The sequence below is a fragment of the Homo sapiens genome, chromosome 13, assembly GCF_000001405.40.
Source record: "Homo sapiens chromosome 13, GRCh38.p14 Primary Assembly".
NCBI lineage: Eukaryota > Metazoa > Chordata > Mammalia > Primates > Hominidae > Homo > Homo sapiens.
In genome coordinates, this window is record NC_000013.11 from 63,649,500 (window position 1) to 63,667,532 (window position 18,033).

General features: G+C 34.7%; 1 long non-coding RNA gene across 2 annotated transcripts in view; it reads left to right on the forward strand.

Moving 5' to 3' along the window:
* The window catches only part of LOC105370236 (uncharacterized), a 78,736-nt gene that overhangs the window by 55,607 nt on the left and 5,096 nt on the right, over positions 1 to 18,033 (forward strand). Inside the window, exon 7 of one of the 2 annotated variants that reach the window (XR_942020.1) lies at positions 9,135 to 9,248. The exons of the other annotated variant lie outside the window; for it this stretch is intronic. This is a non-coding gene — a long non-coding RNA (uncharacterized LOC105370236). Of the gene's footprint in view, positions 1 to 9,134; positions 9,249 to 18,033 lie in introns of those variants that run through there. 2 annotated transcript variants of the gene reach the window in all.

Below are 18,033 nucleotides of genomic sequence, written 5' to 3' on the forward strand. Positions count from 1 at the left end.
CTAAGACTGATAAAATGTCCTCTTCCCCTTAGAAAAGGTGAAATGTAACATTATGCAAATTTATTTCACTGTGTCTTCTTTGTGACTTTTTTTTTTCTCGGCCTTTTTGTTTTATCACTATCTTTGACATGTGGCCCATGCGAAAATGTCCTGCATTTCTAAACTTTGGGACATTGGCATAGTTTTGATTAATGAGCTTATTGTTATTCATCCTAGTTAGAGCTTGCTGAACAAAAGTCTCCTTATTATCCCTAATTTATATGTCTCACTTGTATTTGTTCTGCCACATTTCCTCTAATGACTTTCTATATTTAATCACTATATTTAAGAAAAGGAATTTAATGTAATTCCTTGCTGTGCCACATAGTGTTTGGAGTGTATTTGCTATTTTACATGAGTTGTAGCTGTAGTGTGATGGGTACCCCACCAGGGTTATGTAAGGATGAATGTCTGCTACCTGAACCCCGAAGGCTGGACAGTGAGCCAAGGCTATGGTACCTAGCCAAGGAGCAAGTGTCCCTGAGAACCCACAAATCCCAGAGAGTATCTGAGAACCTACCATGGAAAACAGTGCTATCACATACATACAGTAGGCAAAGAGCCAGAAAAATAGCCTAAAAGCAGCTTTGAGATGGGAGATGGTGCAGATCTCTAGATCTGTCCTGCTGTCCCCCAGAAGAGTCCCATACATAAATCCTAATAAACTTATCTACTGGTCAAGCTAGACTTGTCTGAGTCAGTCTTGATCTCTCGGCTCCTTCCCAGTTTGGGGGGTGGGGAGGGGAAATTAAAGTCACAAGTTTTTCTCATATCAATAGCTAGATATTATTTGAAATGTCTCGTTTGAGTGAAACCAAGATAAATTCAGGGAAGTTAGTTTAAACTCACCATGACTAGAATGGTGAGTTAAAAAAAAAAAAAAGGAATAAAAATGTGTTTCCATTTAGATGTGCATACGCACTTTCCTGTAACTTGATGGAAACATTCAGACTTGAATTTATTTTATGTTTGTAAGTCAAACAAAAGGTCATTTTATTTATTGCTTATGTTTTTTTGTTCTGTATGTACTGGCATCGTTATTAATTATTTATTAGTTAAATAGAATTCACTTTATAATTGCCAAGGTTTTATTCTGAGATTTTACTGAACAGGAGCATATCAATTAATTTGTTTTCCCTGTCTATATCATCTATATCATCTCTCTCTCTCTCTCTCTCTCTGTCTCTATATATATATATATATATATATATATATATGTATATCATATATATACACACACATATATATATTCATTACCGAAATCAAATTGATCAAGACGCCATAGGATCAATTGTTAAGGTAGGCAAACAAATTGCAGTATTTTCACGTGAGTGTAGCCAATGCATTTTTCACAGAAATGTTATAATATGGTGAGTTTGATCTAAAAGCAATTTAAATATAAACAAAATCCGGCCTGGAACGATGGCTCATTCTTGTAATCCCAGCACTTTGGGAGGCCGAGGTGGGTGGATCATGAGGTCAGGAGATCAAGACCATCCTGGCTAACACGGTGAAACCTCGTCTCTACTAAAAATACAAAAATTAGCCGGGCGTGGTGGTGGGCGCCTGTAGTCCCAGGTACTCAGGAGGCTGAGGCAGGAGAATGGCCTGAACCCGGGAGGCGGAGCTTGTAGTGAACCGAGATCACGCCAGGGCAGTCCAACCTGGGCGACAGAGCGAGACTCCGTCTCAAAAAAAAAAAAAAAAAAAAAAGTAAATAAATAAATAATAAATAAGTAAATAAATGTAAACAAAGTCCTTGGTATTAATTCAGTTGTAATCTGTTGATTTTCTCTATACTTGCTATGTGAATGTCTTTTTTAATAGAATACAGCTTCTGTGAAGCAAACTATGCTATTTTTATGCTTCATTTTAAATGTAAAATATTAACTTTCTTTCACGCAATCACTGGTATGGAGAGAACATTGGGGAACATATTGGAAGTTAACATAATTATATCAATAGTTCCCTAGTGGTCAAAAGCATTAGTACTCAAATTGCATTATGAATATGAAAATCCAGTAATTTTGATTTAGGTCATTTGTCACACTGGCATCAGAAATTGCAAGTCACTGCTGCTGTCTAAAATTTTGAATTTCATATGACTGGTGATTAAATTCAAAAGAACCTTCTGGTTCATCAACAATCTATCCAAACTGTGTAAAATCCATTCATAGGCACATTTCTTCTATGTTCTAATTTTATGTAAGTACTAACACACATTCCCCTTTCTATTCACATTATATTTTTGAGCAATGGAAATGCATTGGATGGAAAATAGTTCTGAAACTGATATGATCAAAAGTAATTACACTTGGGTAGAATGTGAATTTAGAGTTAAACTTACATTCTGTTTGCACACCTAACTAGTGAATATTGCTCTATAGCAGAAGGATTATTACTTTTAAAAAGTGAGTTCAGATCATTATTTTCCACTGCAAGTTCAGATATTCAACTTGCAGCTGGATTTATATAGCATGCAAACACTTGTACAGGACATAAAATTTGGACAGGTCATAAGTGCACAAATGCTGTTGCTAGATACTTATCTCTGGCTGACAAATAGGTGCAGTTCAATGAAATGGATATTAGAGTGTTATATTGCAGTATAATTGAACCACTCTAGTAAACACAAGGTAACTATTAGTAGCATACTAAATATTGTTCTGAATTAGATCATTCTATTGAAATATAAACATATAAAGAAAATAAAATAAATGAAAAGTAATACATTTTAAAACTATTTTTAAATTGCTTTAAATGTTTCAAAAATGTTTTAAAAACTTTTTAAAAAAAAAGAAAAAACAATATTAGCTATAAAATGGTTTCAATTCAGGAACTTTCCTGTTCCATAACCTTGTCAAATTAAATGACTTCTCTAAGGTTCATTTACAGGATGGTTAGAAGTATTAAATGATAGTATTTTCATAAAACACTTAGCATCATGTTTAATATATAAAAGATACCACAACACAACTTAGAAAAGATATTTATTATTATAAAATATAACATTCTTTGGAACAGTAAATACTGTTTAGTGTTTTAAAGTTACCCTTCTGACCTCATTTTCTTTTTTATTTGTTTATTCACTTATTTATTTATTTTTTACTTTAAGTTATGGGATACATGTGTAAAATGCGCAGGCTTGTTATGTACGTACACATGTGCCGTAGTGGTTTGCTGCACCTTTCAACCCATCACCTAGGTTTTAAGCTCCGCATGCATTAGGTATTTCTCGTGATGCTTCCCCACCCCTCGCACCCCCTCCCTGCTGAGAGGCCCCAGTGTGTGTTATTTCCCTCCCTGTGCCCATGTGTTCTCATTGTTCAGCTCCCACTTATGAGTGAGAACATGTGGTGTTTGGTTTTCTGTTCCTGTGTTAGTTTGCTGAGGATGGATGGCTTCCAGCTTCATCTATGTCCTTGAAAAGAACATGATCTCATTCCTTTTTGTGACTGCCTAGTATTCCATGGTGTATATGTACCACATTTTCTTTATGTATGGCATTTGGATTGGTTCTATGTCTTTGTTATTGTGAATAGTGCTGCAATGAACATACGTGTGCATGTATCTTTATAACAGAATGATTTATATTCCTTTCAGTATATACCCAGTAATGGATTGCTGGGTCAAATGTTATTAATGGTTCTAGATCCTTGAGGAATTGCCGCAGTGTGTTCCACAATGGCTCAACTAATTTACATTCCCATCAACAATGTAAAAGTGTTCCTATTTCTCCACAGGCTTGCCAGCATCTATTCTTTCTTGACTTTTAATAATCGCCATTCTGACTGGCGTGAGATGGTATCTCATTGTGGTTTTGATTTGCATTTCTCTAATGATCAGTGATGTTGAGTTTTTTTCCATATGTTTATTGGCCACCTAAATGTTTTCTTTCGAGAAGTGTCTGTTCATATCTTTTGTCTACTATTTGATGGGGTTGTTTGTTTTTTTCTTGTAAATTTGTTTATGTTTCTCAGAAATCCTGGATATTAGGCCTTTGTCAGATGGGTAGATTGCAAAAATTTTCTCCCATTCTGTAGGTTGCCTGTTTGCTCTGATGATAGTTTCTTTTGCTGTGCAGATGCTCTTTAGTTTAATGAGTTACCATTTGTCAATTTTTGCTTTTGTTGCAATTGCTTTTGGTGATTTCATCATAAATTCTTTGCCCATGCCTGTGTCCTGAATGGCATTGCCTAGGTTTTCTTCTAAGGTTTTAATGGTTTTGAGTTTTACATTTAAGTCTTTAATCCCCCTTGAATTATAAGGAAAGGGTCCCGTTTCAGTTTTCTGCATATGACTAGCAAGTTTTCCCAGCATCATTTATTACATAAGGAATCCTTTCCTCATTACTTGTTTTTGTGAGGCTTTTGGAAGATAAAATGTATGGTGTTATTTCTGAGACCTTTATTCTGTTCCATTGGTCTATATGTCTGTTTTGGTGCCAGTACCATGCTGTTTTGGTTACTGCAGCCTTGTAGTATGGTTTGAAGTCAGGTAGTGTGATGCCTCCAGCTTTGTTCTTTTTGCTTAGGATTGTCTTGGCTATGCGGCCTCTCTTTTGGTTCCACATGCCTTTTAAAGTAGTTTATTCTAATTCTGTGAATAATGTCAATGGTAGTTTGATGGGAATAACATTGAATCTATAAATTACTTTGGGAAGTATGGCCATTTTGATGATGTTGATTCTTCCTATCCATGAGGATGTAATATTTTTTCCATTTATTTTTGTCTTCTCTTATTTCCTTGAGCAGTGGTTTGTAGTTCTCCTTGAAGAGGTTCTTCATGTCCCTTGTTAACTGTATTCCTTGGTATTTTATTCTCTTTGAAGCAATTGTGAATGGCAGTTCATTAATGATTTGGCTCTCTGCTTGTCTATTGTTGGTGTATAGGAATGCTTGTGAATTTTGCACTTTGATTTTGTATCCTGAGACTTTGCTGAAGTTGCTTATCAGCTTAAGGAGTTTTTGCGCTGAGATGATGGGTTTTTCTAAATATAGGATTATGTTATCTGTAAACAGAGACAATTTACCTTCCTCTCTTCCTATGCGAATACCCTTTATTTATTTCCATTAAGCCAGTTTATTTAGAGTTTTTAGCATGAAGCCATGTTGAATTTTATCAAAGGCCTTTTCTGCATCTATTGAGATAATCACATGGTTTTTGTCATTGGCTCTGTTGCTGTGATGGATTACGGTTATTGATTTGTGTGTGTTGAACCAGGCTTGCATCCCAGGGATGAAGCCAACTTGATTGTGGTGGATATGCTTTTTGATGTGCTGCTGGATTCAGTTTGCCAGTATTTTACTGAGGATTTTCACACTGATGTTTATCAGGGATATTGGCCTAAAGTTTTCTTTTTTTGTTATGTCTCTGCCAGGTTTTAGTATCAGGATGATGCTGGCCTGATAAAATGAGTTAGGGAGGAATCCCCCCTTTTCAATTGTTAGGAATAGTTTCTGAATGAGTCGTACCAACTCCTCTTAGTACCTCTGGTAGAATTTGGCTGTGTATCCATCTGGTCCTGGGTTTTTTTTTTTTTTTTTTGGTTGGTAGGCTAGCTAATATTACCTCAATTTCAGAACTTGTTATTGGCCTATTCAGAGATTCGACTTCTTCCTGGTTTAGTCTTGGGAGGGTGTATGTGTCCAGAAATGTATCAATTTCTTCTAGATTTTCTACTTTATTTGCATGGAAGTGTTTATAGTATTCTCTGCTGGTAGTTTGTATTTCTGTGGTATAAGTGGTGATATCCCCGTTATCATTTTTTATTGTGCCTATTTGATTTGTCTCTCTTTTCTTCTATTAGTCTAGTAGTGGTCTATCTATTTTATTAATTTGTTTTTTTGTTTGTTTTTTTAAAAACACCGGCTTCTGCATTCGTTGATTTTTTGAAGGGATTTTTGTGTCTCTATCTCCTTCAGTTCCACTCTGTTCTTAGTTGTTTCTTGTCTTCTGCTAGATTTTGGATTTGTTTGCTCTTGCTTCTCTAGTTCTTTTCATTGTGATGTTAGCATTTTGATTTGAGGTCTTTCCAGCTTTCTGATGTGGGCATTTAGTGCTATAAATTTCCCTCTTAACATTGTTTTAGCTGTGTCCCAGAGATTTTGGTACATTGTCTCTTTGTTCTCATTGGTTTCAAAGAACTTCTTGATTTCTGCCTTAATTTGATTATTTACCCAAGAGTCATTCAGAAGCACGTTGTTCAATTTCCATGTAGCTATGTGGTTTTGATTGAGTTTCTTAATTGTGAGTTCTAATTTGATTGCACTGTGGTCTGAGAGACTGTTTGTCAAAATTTCCATTCTTTTACATTTGCGGAGGAGTGTTTTACCTCCAATTATGTGTCTGACCACATTTTCTATCAGTGGCCATCTCCCTCATTTCCACTACAGCCATAGTGGATCTCCTTGCTTATTGGACACTTCAGGCTTGCACTTTCCACAGGATCTTTGAGTTTACTGCTCTCTCTTCATATAGCCAGATGGCTCACTTTTTCACTCCTTTCAGATTTGTGCTCAATTCACACTCTAGCAATAAGACCTCTCTGACTATATACCCTCCTTAAAACACTCACAAACCCTATATAAAATAGCAATATTCCCAAACTTAGCACTTATAGTCTCTGTTATCCTGCTTATTTTTTCTTTTTAGCAATTTTCACTATTTTCTCTACATTACAATTACTTATTAATTTGTTTGTTATCCTGTTATCCCATTTCTTATTCTAACTAAAAGGTAAATTCTGTGAGGGTAAGAAAGTTGTCTCTTTTCTTAATGCCCTGTCCCTGGTACTTACAACAGCATATGATAAAATCAAAAATATTGTTTGTAAATGAACGACTTAAGAATAAATGTATTTTCAATTTTTAAATATTAATTACAGTTTAATATGCACTTAACAATATGACCTAGCTTCTATATTTTAATCTAGAACAATATAAACCTAGATTCTTTTGGCTCTGGAGTAGATTTTTACATTTAAATCAATTAATTAATTTCAGGTTGGCCTTAAATAACTATTTTCCTTTTATTTCATGGATACACATTATGTCTGTGGGCTTTGTCCCATCAATAAATAGATATCAATTTGTTCCATTGCAAGGTAATAATAGTTATTGATCTCTGGTCTCCATCTTAAATAAAAACTAAAGCTAGCTGCTCAGAAAAAAAAAAAATCTTTAAAGTGTGACACACTCAATTCACACAGTATTTATCAAGTACCTACCATATGTGCTATAGCTCTAAGTGCTACAGTGAAAATTAAGATAAAAACAAATGTCATTTCCTTGAGAATGTTTAATATTTTAGGCAATGTAAAATGGACCTAATAACTTTAAAAAGGATGGAATATGATGAGTAAAATAAAAGAAATAAAAATAAGAACCTTGAAGAGCTATATCTTATGTATTAGAAATATTGCCATTAAGAGTAGGAATTAGGCCTTTTCACATAAGTAAAACAATTTTACTGTATATAATTAATTGCTTAAAACATTTCTAGTCATCTCAAAAGCAGAAATATGAATTATATGAACCATAAACTTCACAATAAACAAATCAAAGCTAGACCTATTATTCTCTTAAAAGTAAGTGCATGAGTATAAATTAAAATATTCATCTTAGGATTCATCAGACATGAGAGAATTTTAGTACCAAAGATTAGTCTTGGAGAAGATATATTATCAAGTGTATTATTAACAAATTAACAACTTCTCCTATCTTTTCCTGATGTATTGCTTATTTATACTAAATATATTGACAGGATAAGCACATTGGGAGTCTCACTAAGTTAAACATAAATGTCAGCTATTCAACAGAAGCACTTCTCTGGGGCTGTTGGTAGTTTCAAGGTAGAAGAGTCAGTCCTTATATTAAAACTAGATGATCTAAACTGAAGGGCTGTATCAATGAAAACACATAACATCAGAAAAAGACGTTTATCAGTTACATAACCAATCATCACAGAAACATATTGCTTAAAAGTAAATTTAAGAATCTTTGAAAGATTTTTTATTTATTACAAATATCAAACACATTTATTATTTGAATTTTTGTGGTCTCAGTAAATATGACTAATTCAAGAAAGTCTTTGAGATTTTTTAAATTAATTCCAATAGGGTATATTCTTTAGCTTGAAAAGAACACCATGGTGTTTTAACTGAAAATGCCAAATAATTTCCAAAATTCTTAATACTCCTGAAAATGCCTTAGATTTGTTCTAAGTAAATTTCATACAGAAGGTGTCATCTAAATTAATATTCACAAATATACTATAAATGGAAGGACATTTGCTGTAAGTTAAGAAATTCTTAAAAGATAAATGTGTAAAACAAATATTGATTGTAAAAGGCAATTCTAGCCGTCTCTTAAGTTATTACTTATTTTTAATCTACCAACGTATGTCCTCTTCCTTAAAGTACATGAGCATTAACCAATAATTGCCTTTATTTTTCTCAATATGAGGGAAACACATGCTCACTCCCAACCATCATTTTTTTAAGATAAAAAGTGTGATATTCCTAAAATGTATTAATGAAAGCTTATATTTGAGAATTTTTTTAAAAGTAAAAGACTCATTTGTTAAGATAAGCTTCTGACCATGTCCTTATTCAAAAATAATATCTTCCCTGACTATTAGAAATCACACTGATTTCCCTTGTTATGCAACGACATCAACCACACCACTTTAGTAAAATTATATACCACGATGTGCTATTATTAATTATTTGATTGTGTTAATGTGATTTCACAAGATGATAATTTCTTTAAAACCTGCACAGTGTTATAAACATATGTCTCAATTGCTCAGGCAATTATACAGCAACAATTTTATATCATTTCTTTCATGGGATTTGCTAAAAGATAGAAATTGTATAATATATATAACTAATAATATATAATATATAACATATATAATATATGTAACATATATATTATATGTTACATATACATATACATATATAACATATATAACATAAAACATATATAATATATGTTATATTACATATAATATATATATAATATATATATAGTTCCTTCCTCTCAGTGATCCTCAAAATTAAAACACAGGTATCTTCTCTGTTCCTTGAACAGCTAAGTTCTTTCCCATCTCAAGATCACTACACTGGCTGTTCCCACTTCTAGGAATGCTCTGATTGGAATCCCATTACGTCTTCCACATTAAAGGAAGCATTGTTTGTTCTAGAAGCAAAGGTAACTTGAGTATATCTATGTCTATATTAATCTGTATCGAGAATTCTAAGCCAATATAATTTTTAAAAACCAACACTTATTGCACCTGAAAAGCAGCACTTGGTAGTATAACATATCCTATCCATAGTGAGGTTTTTTCCTACCTTAAAATATTTATTTCATAAACATGTTTTCATCTAGAGTAAAGTTTAAATTAGAGTAGATGGTAATATGTTAGGACATGTCCAAGTTCTAAGGATGTACATGAAGTGAAACCACAAAAGGAATGGTTTTATTTTACTAGAAAGAAAATGACCCCATTTACATAAGATGCAGGGCTAGCCCGCGTTTCCATGGATAGCAGTACTTGCACTGAACCATGAAGCTATTGTGCTAGGGATGTACCTTTGGCTTCTTTCTTAGATGTACTTCTGAGCTTAGCACACAGGCCTACAGATTCATCAACATTTAATGGTAACAGACATACTCTGGATCCAGCAATTGCATTTTGCCCAGTACCTGCTTCTCCAAGGGAGGGAAGAATTAGAAAGCCAATGTAAGTGGGCTTTCTGCCTCAGGAAAAAAAAAATGTGATTTTTGGTAGAGAAGATTTGCATTCATGTTTGATTATTAGATAATCTAATAAAACAAACTGTTAAATAGAAATAATGTCAGGCCACAGTGAAAGGCAGTAAAGCCATTTTTATTCAGTACTATTGCAATGGGAGTATTAAAACTGAGTTCAATTTCAAATACAGCCAGAACATGTAGGGATTTAGAGCCAAAGACCAGAGGAGGGGGATAAGTCAATGGAAAATTATTAAGAGGCGACATCAAGGGTAGGGAGATTCTTGTTAAACTGATTCAACAGGATTACTGCTAAAGGCAGATCATGGTGAATCGGATTTTAAAGCCAGGGAATGAGAAACTTGAACAGATGTCAAGGCAAATCATATGTGAAGGGTGGAGGGATTCTTATTATTAATACATTTACATAACAGGATTCTTTTCAAAGCTGGACTATGCAGGCTAAGTATAAAGATCAAGGATGAGGCCTAGTAGAAAGTGGACTCATAGGAGCCTGTCTAAAGTTTGGTCAAGAGAGTCTTTATAAAAACTCACATCTCAAAGTTAACATATCCAAACTGAAATTCCTTTTTTCCCCCTTCCAAATCTGATTATTTCCCAGCCTCTCTCTTATCAAAGGAAACTATTGACCACCTAGCTGTCTGTATAAAAATCTCCAAAGTCTGATTCATCAGGAAATCTTGATAGTTCCACTACACAAATATATTTTGAACCTTCTATCATCACTGAAATATTACATCTAAAAGGGCCTTTTTTTTTTCTACACAGGGTTGTATTCTGTCACCCAGGCCAAGTGCAGGGACATGATTACAGCTCACTGCAGCCTCAACCTCCCAGGCTCAAATGAGCCTCCTGCCTCAGTTTCCTGAATAGTTGGGACTACAGGCAAATACCACCACACCTGGCTAATTTTTATCTTTTTCTATTTTTTTTTTTAGAGACGTGGTCTAACTATGTTGCCCAAGCTAGTCTCTTCGAGTCAAGCTATCCTCCTTCCTCAGCCTCCCAAAGTGCTGAGATTACAGGTGTGAGCCACAGCACCCACCTGGGTCTTGCATAATTTGACTCTGGCCTATTCTCCAACATCAACTCCTACAATTCTCTTCCTCGCTATTCTCTGGACATGCCAGTTTCACATTCATGAATAGTCAATGAACTTGAAATCTTCAATTATAACTGTGAATTTGTCTATTTCTCTTTTCAGCTCTATTGGTTTTTGCTTCATATATTTTGAAGCTTTATTTTTTTAGTGTGTACACTTTTATGTCTTCTTGCTGGTTGAACTTTTATCTTATGTCACGCCTCTTCTTGTCTCTAGTATTGTCATTAATTTAAAGTCTAATGTTTCAGGTACCAATATAGCCAGTGTATTGGTTTTTAAATTACTATCGCATGGTATATATTTTCTTCATATTTTTATTTGCAATGTGCTAATGTCAATAAATCTGAAGTGAGTTTCTTTTAAGCTGCATGTATGGGTAAATTTTTAAATCCAGTGTTTGTTTTTTGATTGCAGTATTCAAATCAATTACATTTAAAGTAATTATTGATATTCTAGTACTAACCTATGATATTTTACTATTGATTTTCTGTGTGTTTCTCTGCTTCTCTTTTCTGGTTTCCTGTGTGCTATTTGGGCAATGTTTTAAAGATTCAACCTGATATATGCTTAATGTTTCTGAGTGTTGTATTCGTATTGTTTTGCTGTTTCCCTTTACCTATGAGTCAAATTCTATTAGTTCCCTTCATTCCTGGGGCATAGTGTCACCATATATATAGTTCACTATTGATTGTACTTTTCTTTCAGCATTTGGAAAGTTTTGTGCCAGTTTCTTCTGGCTTCCATAGTTTCAGATGTGGAATTTCTAGCATTCAAATTGATGTTCTCCTATAGGTAGAGTCATTTTTCTTTGGTTGCTTTCAAGTTTTGCTTTGCTTTTTTTCTGTTTCAGTCTCAGAAGTGTAATTATAATGTGTCTTGGCATAAATTTTTTGGAATTACCTTGTTTAGGGTTTGTTTTGCTTCTAGAATTGTAAGTTTCTGTCTTTTGTGAAATTTGGAAACTTTTCAGCTATTATTTTCTCAAATAATCTTTCAATCTCACTCCTTTTCTTCTGAAACTGTGGTGACAGGAATATAGATGGTCCCTGATATATGACGGTTCTACTTATCATTTTTTGACCCTACAGTGATGTGACAACAATACACATTTAGTAGAACTGTATTTCTCTTGCAATGCTGAGCAGTGGCAGCAAGACACAGCTCCCAGACAGCCATGCATTTTCTACTTATAATATGTATAACACAATGGGGTTATTGGGACATAACTCCATATCCACCCTGGCAAGGAGAATATGTATTGTATATCTTATTGTAGTCCCACAGATTCCCAAAATCTTCTTTAATTTTTTTCTTTCTCTTCATTATTTAGATTGGGTGAATTGTGTTTATCTGTCCTAAAATTCAGTGATTCTGTCTTCTATCATCTCTACTATTGAGCCCATCTGTTCAGTTTGTTTCCTTTTTTGTGTTTTATGTTTTTCATTTTCCTAATCCACTGTTTCTTTTTTCAATTTATTAACTGTGTCTTTTAAAGAAGTTTTAAGTTTACAAAAGAATTGAGCAGAAAATTCAGAGAGCCTCTGTAGTCCTCACCTGCTGGATCACACACACAGTGTCCTCTGTATTAACATCTTGCATTTATGTAGTATTTTGTGTATAGTCGATTGACCAATACTGATACATTATTAACTAAAGTCCATAGCTTGCATTAGGGTTTATGCATTGTGTTGTACATTCTAAGGGTTTTGACAAATGTAGAATGACCCATGTCTACCATTATAGTATCACATGGAAGAATTTTACTACTCTAAAAATCCCTTGTGCTTCATCTTTTCATCCCTCTTTTCTCAAGAATCCCTGGAAAGTACTGGGCATTTTAATTTTGGCTTAGTTTTCCTCTTACCAGAATGTAATATAGTTGGAATTATACAGCATGTGGCCTTTTCAGGATGGTTTATTTCACTTAGCATTATGCTGTTAACCTTTCATCCATGACTTTCCACAGTTGATAGCTGTCTTAGTTGTCTGGCTGCTATAACAAAATACCCTAAAATGAGTAACTTATGAACAATAGAAATTAACTTCCCACAGTTCTGGAGACTGGGAAGTCTAAATCAAGGCATCGGCAGATCTGATGTCTGTTGAGGGACTGCTTTCCCATATATGGCTGACTTTTTACGGTGACTTCACATGGCAGAAGGGGAAAGGCATCTCTCTGGAGACGCTTTTATAAGGGCACTAGCCCCATGAACCTTTATGGCCTAATTGTCTCCCAAAGGTCGCACATCCTAATAAAATGACATTGGTGATTAGCCTTCAGCATGTACATTTTGGGGAGACCCAAACTTTCAGATAATAGCAATAGTTCTTTCTTTTTATTGCTAAATAAATAGTCCAGGCTATGGATGTAAAAATGTTTATCCATTTACCCATTGAAGGAGATCTTGGTTGCTTCCATATTTTGGCAATTACTAATTAAACTGCCATAAATATTCATGTGCAGCTTTTTGTGTGGACAGAGTTTTAATCTCATTTGGGTAAATACTAAGGGGCATAATTGCTGGACTTTACGGTAAGAGTATCTTCAGTTTTGTTAGAAACTGCCAAACTGTTTTCTGAGGTAGCTATACCATTTTGCATTTCAAACAGCAATGAATGAGAGATCCTGTTGTTCCACATCCTTGCTAGCATTTGGTTTTCTCAGTTGTTTGAAGTTTGGCCATTCTAATTTGTATATTGTGGTATTCTGTTGTTGTTTTAAATTTGAAATCCCCTAATTAAATATGATGTTGAGCAAATATGCTTATTTGTCATCTATCTTCTTCAGTGATGTGCCTATTTAGACCTTTTGACAATTTTTTAATGGAGTTGTTTTCTTCTTGTTGAGCTTTAAGTGTTCTTTGTATATTTTTATATACTAGCCCTTTTTCAGATATGTGTTTTGTAAAAATTTTCTGCAGTGTGTGTTTTATAAATATTTCATTCTCTTAGGGTTCTTAAAAAGCACAAAAAAACACAATTCACCCAATTAAAGTATACACAATTTAATAGTTTTTAGTATAGTCACAGAATTGTGCATTCATCATAGTAATGGATTTTAAGATATTTTCATTATTCCCTAAAAGATACCCTGTACTCTTCAGCCATTGCTCCCTAAGTAACTCATCCCCCTCAATCTTAGCAGACAGTCTTACCGTCTGCCTACACAGATTTAAATATTCTGACCATTTTATATAAATGGAAATCTATAATATATAGTTTATCGTTACTGGCTTCTTTTACTTAGCATATGTTTTCAGGGTACATCCATGTTGAAGTATGTATCAGTACTTCATTTCTCTTCATAGAAAATGAAAATGAATATCTTTTTACAATGTTTTACTGTATGCACTTTTGGTTCTGTTTATAATTTTATTTCTTTGTTGAGATTTTCTATTTTTAAATTCCCTTCAAGATAATTTTTAATTAATTTTTGAAACTTTGTTATGGTGGCTGCGTTAATATCCTTGTCAAATAGTTCTAATATCTGATTTATCTCATTGTTGGTATTTTCTCATTCAAGTTGTAATTTCCTTGGTTCTTTTTATGACCCTGACTATAATTGTACCCTGGATATTTTGTCTATTAGGTTAGGACACTCTAGGTTCTATTTAAAACTTTTATTTTAATAGGCATTCACCCTGCTTAAGTTTAGCATACAGGTCTTGGCCTCATTCTGTGGTCTCTGATTCCAATGACAGTTTGAATTTTAGAGGCTTTGCAATGATCTGCTTGGTTTATCTGATGTCACAGTGTTTCCATGTGTCCCTGCTAGTGGTGTTTGGCTTATGGGACATAACAGACTTCCCCAGGTTGGGCCATTCGGCATCTCCTGGGGATAGAGTGGAGTCTCCAGAATATAAAGTCTCTTTGTTGTACCTCCTCGTTGTGGCTAGGTGCTTTTTGCCAGTTGTGTCCATCTGCCTCAGTGTGTGCCAGTGTGGAAAGAGAATCTCAGGTCTATTAGGATGAAGAATACTCCTAGACCAAACCATTTGTTACAATGGAATCCCCCAAATGTGTCCCTTGTCTTCCTTTTTGTAGTGTCTCTGCAGAGGATAATTTCAAGTCTAGAGGGACAAGAAAGACTTCTTGTGATGAGTTCTCAAGCCTGCATGGAAAACAAAGTACTTCTTCTGGCTGCTATTGTTACTGGGGCTCCTGATCAGTCCCCCTTGTAAGTCTACCATGCATGCTTGTTGTTTCCAACTGGACTCTCATTTTGTTGTGGGGGGTGACTGGAACTGCCTGGGCTGCCTTCTATTGATAAATTGAGGGTTACTTAGTCTGGGTCAACTTCTTCCATGGGATGTTTGCAAGTAAGATTGCCCTGAGACTGTGTTCTTTTTCTAGTCAAACCAGTTTTCCTTCTGTTTTAGTCAGTTTTTGTGTCACTATAAAGGAATAACTGAGACTGGGTAACTTATAAGGAAAAGAGTTTTAATTTGCTCATGGTTCTGGAGGCTGTACATGGAAGCATGGTGCTGGCATCTGCTTCTGGTGAGAGCCTCAGGAAGCTTACTGTCATGGCAGAAGGTGATGGGAGCCAATGTGTCACATGATGACAGTGGGTGCAAGAGAGAGAGTAAGGAGGTGCCAAACACTTTCAAAAAATCAGCTCTGGTGAGAACTCACTCACTGTCTCCAGGACAGCACCAAGCCATTCGTGAGGGATCCACCCTATTACCCAAACACCCCCCACCAGGTCCCACCTCCAACATTCAGGATTATATTTCAACATGAGATTTGGAGGGGACAAACACGCAAACTGTATCACCTTCTTAGTACCTTTCAGTGATCTCTTTGATTACCTCCTGCATTGTTTCTGGGGTCTGTAGTCTAGCAGGAAGGAACAAAAAAACTGGCCTACCCTTGTCTAAACTAGAAGTCCCCTTAACTGTAATTTTAATTTTTCACTTATCTTCTTATTTCTATGCACATGCTAAAAAATGAAAGACATACAAATACAACAGAGATGCTAATTTTTAATTTATTGGCATTACTTGTCTCTCAGATCTTATGAAAGCACTAGATATTCCTTCATTAATAAATTAATTGTAGGCCGGGCACGGTGGCTCACACCTGTAATCTCAGCATTTTGGGAGGCCAAGGCAGGTGGATCACCTGAGGTCAGGAGTACAAGACCAGCCTGACCAATATGGAGAAACCCCGTCTCTACTGAAAATACAAAATTAGCCAGGCATGGTGGCACATGCCTATAATCCCAGCTACTCGGGAGGCTGATTCAACAGGAAAATCACTTGAACCCGGGAGATGGAGGTTGCGGTGAGTTGAGATCGCACCATTGCACTGGGCATGAAAGCGAAATTCCGTCTCAAAATAATAATAATGATAATAATGAATTAATTGTTTTACATACTTGCTAGTGAAAAGAAAAAAAACACATACTTGGATAAATTCATGTAACAAGTAAATTAACGAGACTTCCCTCTATATTTTGCTCATGGTAATGTAATTTATATTTATACAAATTTGAGATTTCAACATAAAAAGTGCACAATTTCAGCTTTCGTAGTTGAAAGTTTAATGCAACAAGAGATTTAAAGTGCAAGGGTTTCTATTAATAATGCTGATTCTTCTGCTGCCTTTTGAATACATAGAGTACTATTTAATGGTTTTTGTAGGGAGCCCCTTAGCACAAAGATCTTTATCCCAAAATACAGAAGTGAACTCTTTTTATAAATATTTTAACTTCTAACTCACCCAGAGTTCATGTAAAACAAGAGCATAGATACCATGTCTACATTTGTTAATGTAGATACCATTAACAAATCTGTTTTACGTATGCGAGCTATCCTCAGATATCTAGTGTGGATTTTAGGACAATTGTCTAATTGGGTCCCTGACTCTAAGAACACAAATATTAATGTCTTACTTTTTCTTTTTAAATAATATCAAAATACTTTATTTTGTAAAGTGGCATCTTACTTAGACTCTGCCAAACAAGTTAGGATCACTTTAAAATAAATAACATTAAAAAAAAGATGTCATTCCCTCAGTTCAAATAAAATTAAGTTTCAGCCTGAGTAAGCTCTGAAATAGAAACATCAACTGAATGAACTTCCTGTCCTTAGAGAGTTTGCCATCTCAATTCTTGGTCCAGCAGGGAAAGTAAATGTGGAAACAGATCATTAAAACACAGTGTAATAAAGACCAAGATAGAAGAAAAAAGATCAGACTTTCAATTTCCAAGACACAGGACAAATACAAGAATAAATATGACAGAACGAACAAAAATATGTTCATTTTTGCCCATTGTCTTGATACATACACCTTAAATAACAGTGGCATAAACACAAGAATGAAGGAGAGCTAAACTTCAGGTTAAGTTTAGAAAATGCCTCTTTCCAGAAGTTTTTCATTGTAAACTTCTATGATGTGGGTTTTTGATTAAGGAAATCTTAACTCTAAAAGTTGTTAAGAATTTTGAAAACTTTTGGTAAAAAGCAGTATGTATTGAGAGAGTTCTTTCTTCCTGACAAGTAAGTTGTGACTCTGGAGAGCTAGATTAAACCACAATTTAGACTGGAAGAGATTAATAAATATATTTTATGATGGGAATATACTGAGATCTACATTTAAGTAATTCTACAAAGATTTAAGGGGGGGGGGTTCTCTGAAAAGCCATCTAGAACATTCTTTCTAGTGAAAAAATGTAGAAAAAGATGAAGAAACTCTCAACAGACTCTCTTCGCAAGATTAATTTTTTTTAGTTGATGTATTAGGCAAAATTCTAATATGGGTTCCATGTTCTCCAGCACCTGGTGGATTTCCTATAAATACTCTCACCTTGAGTGTAGGTAGGACATGTGACTCACCTCTAATAAAATACGACAAAGGAGATGAGGATAGAATGCAATCCCTTTGGTTAGGTTATATATAATTATATCTACATATGCATTAGATAGACTTTCCTACTTGCGTTGAAGAAGAAAGATGCTGTAATATGAATGGCCCATGGAGAGGACAACATCACAGGAAACTACATCTGTGAGCTGAGACATTTTATTTTAGTCCTACAATGGCAAGGATCTGAAATCTGCCAATAACCATGTGAATTTGAAAAATAATTATTTATTCAAGCTATCC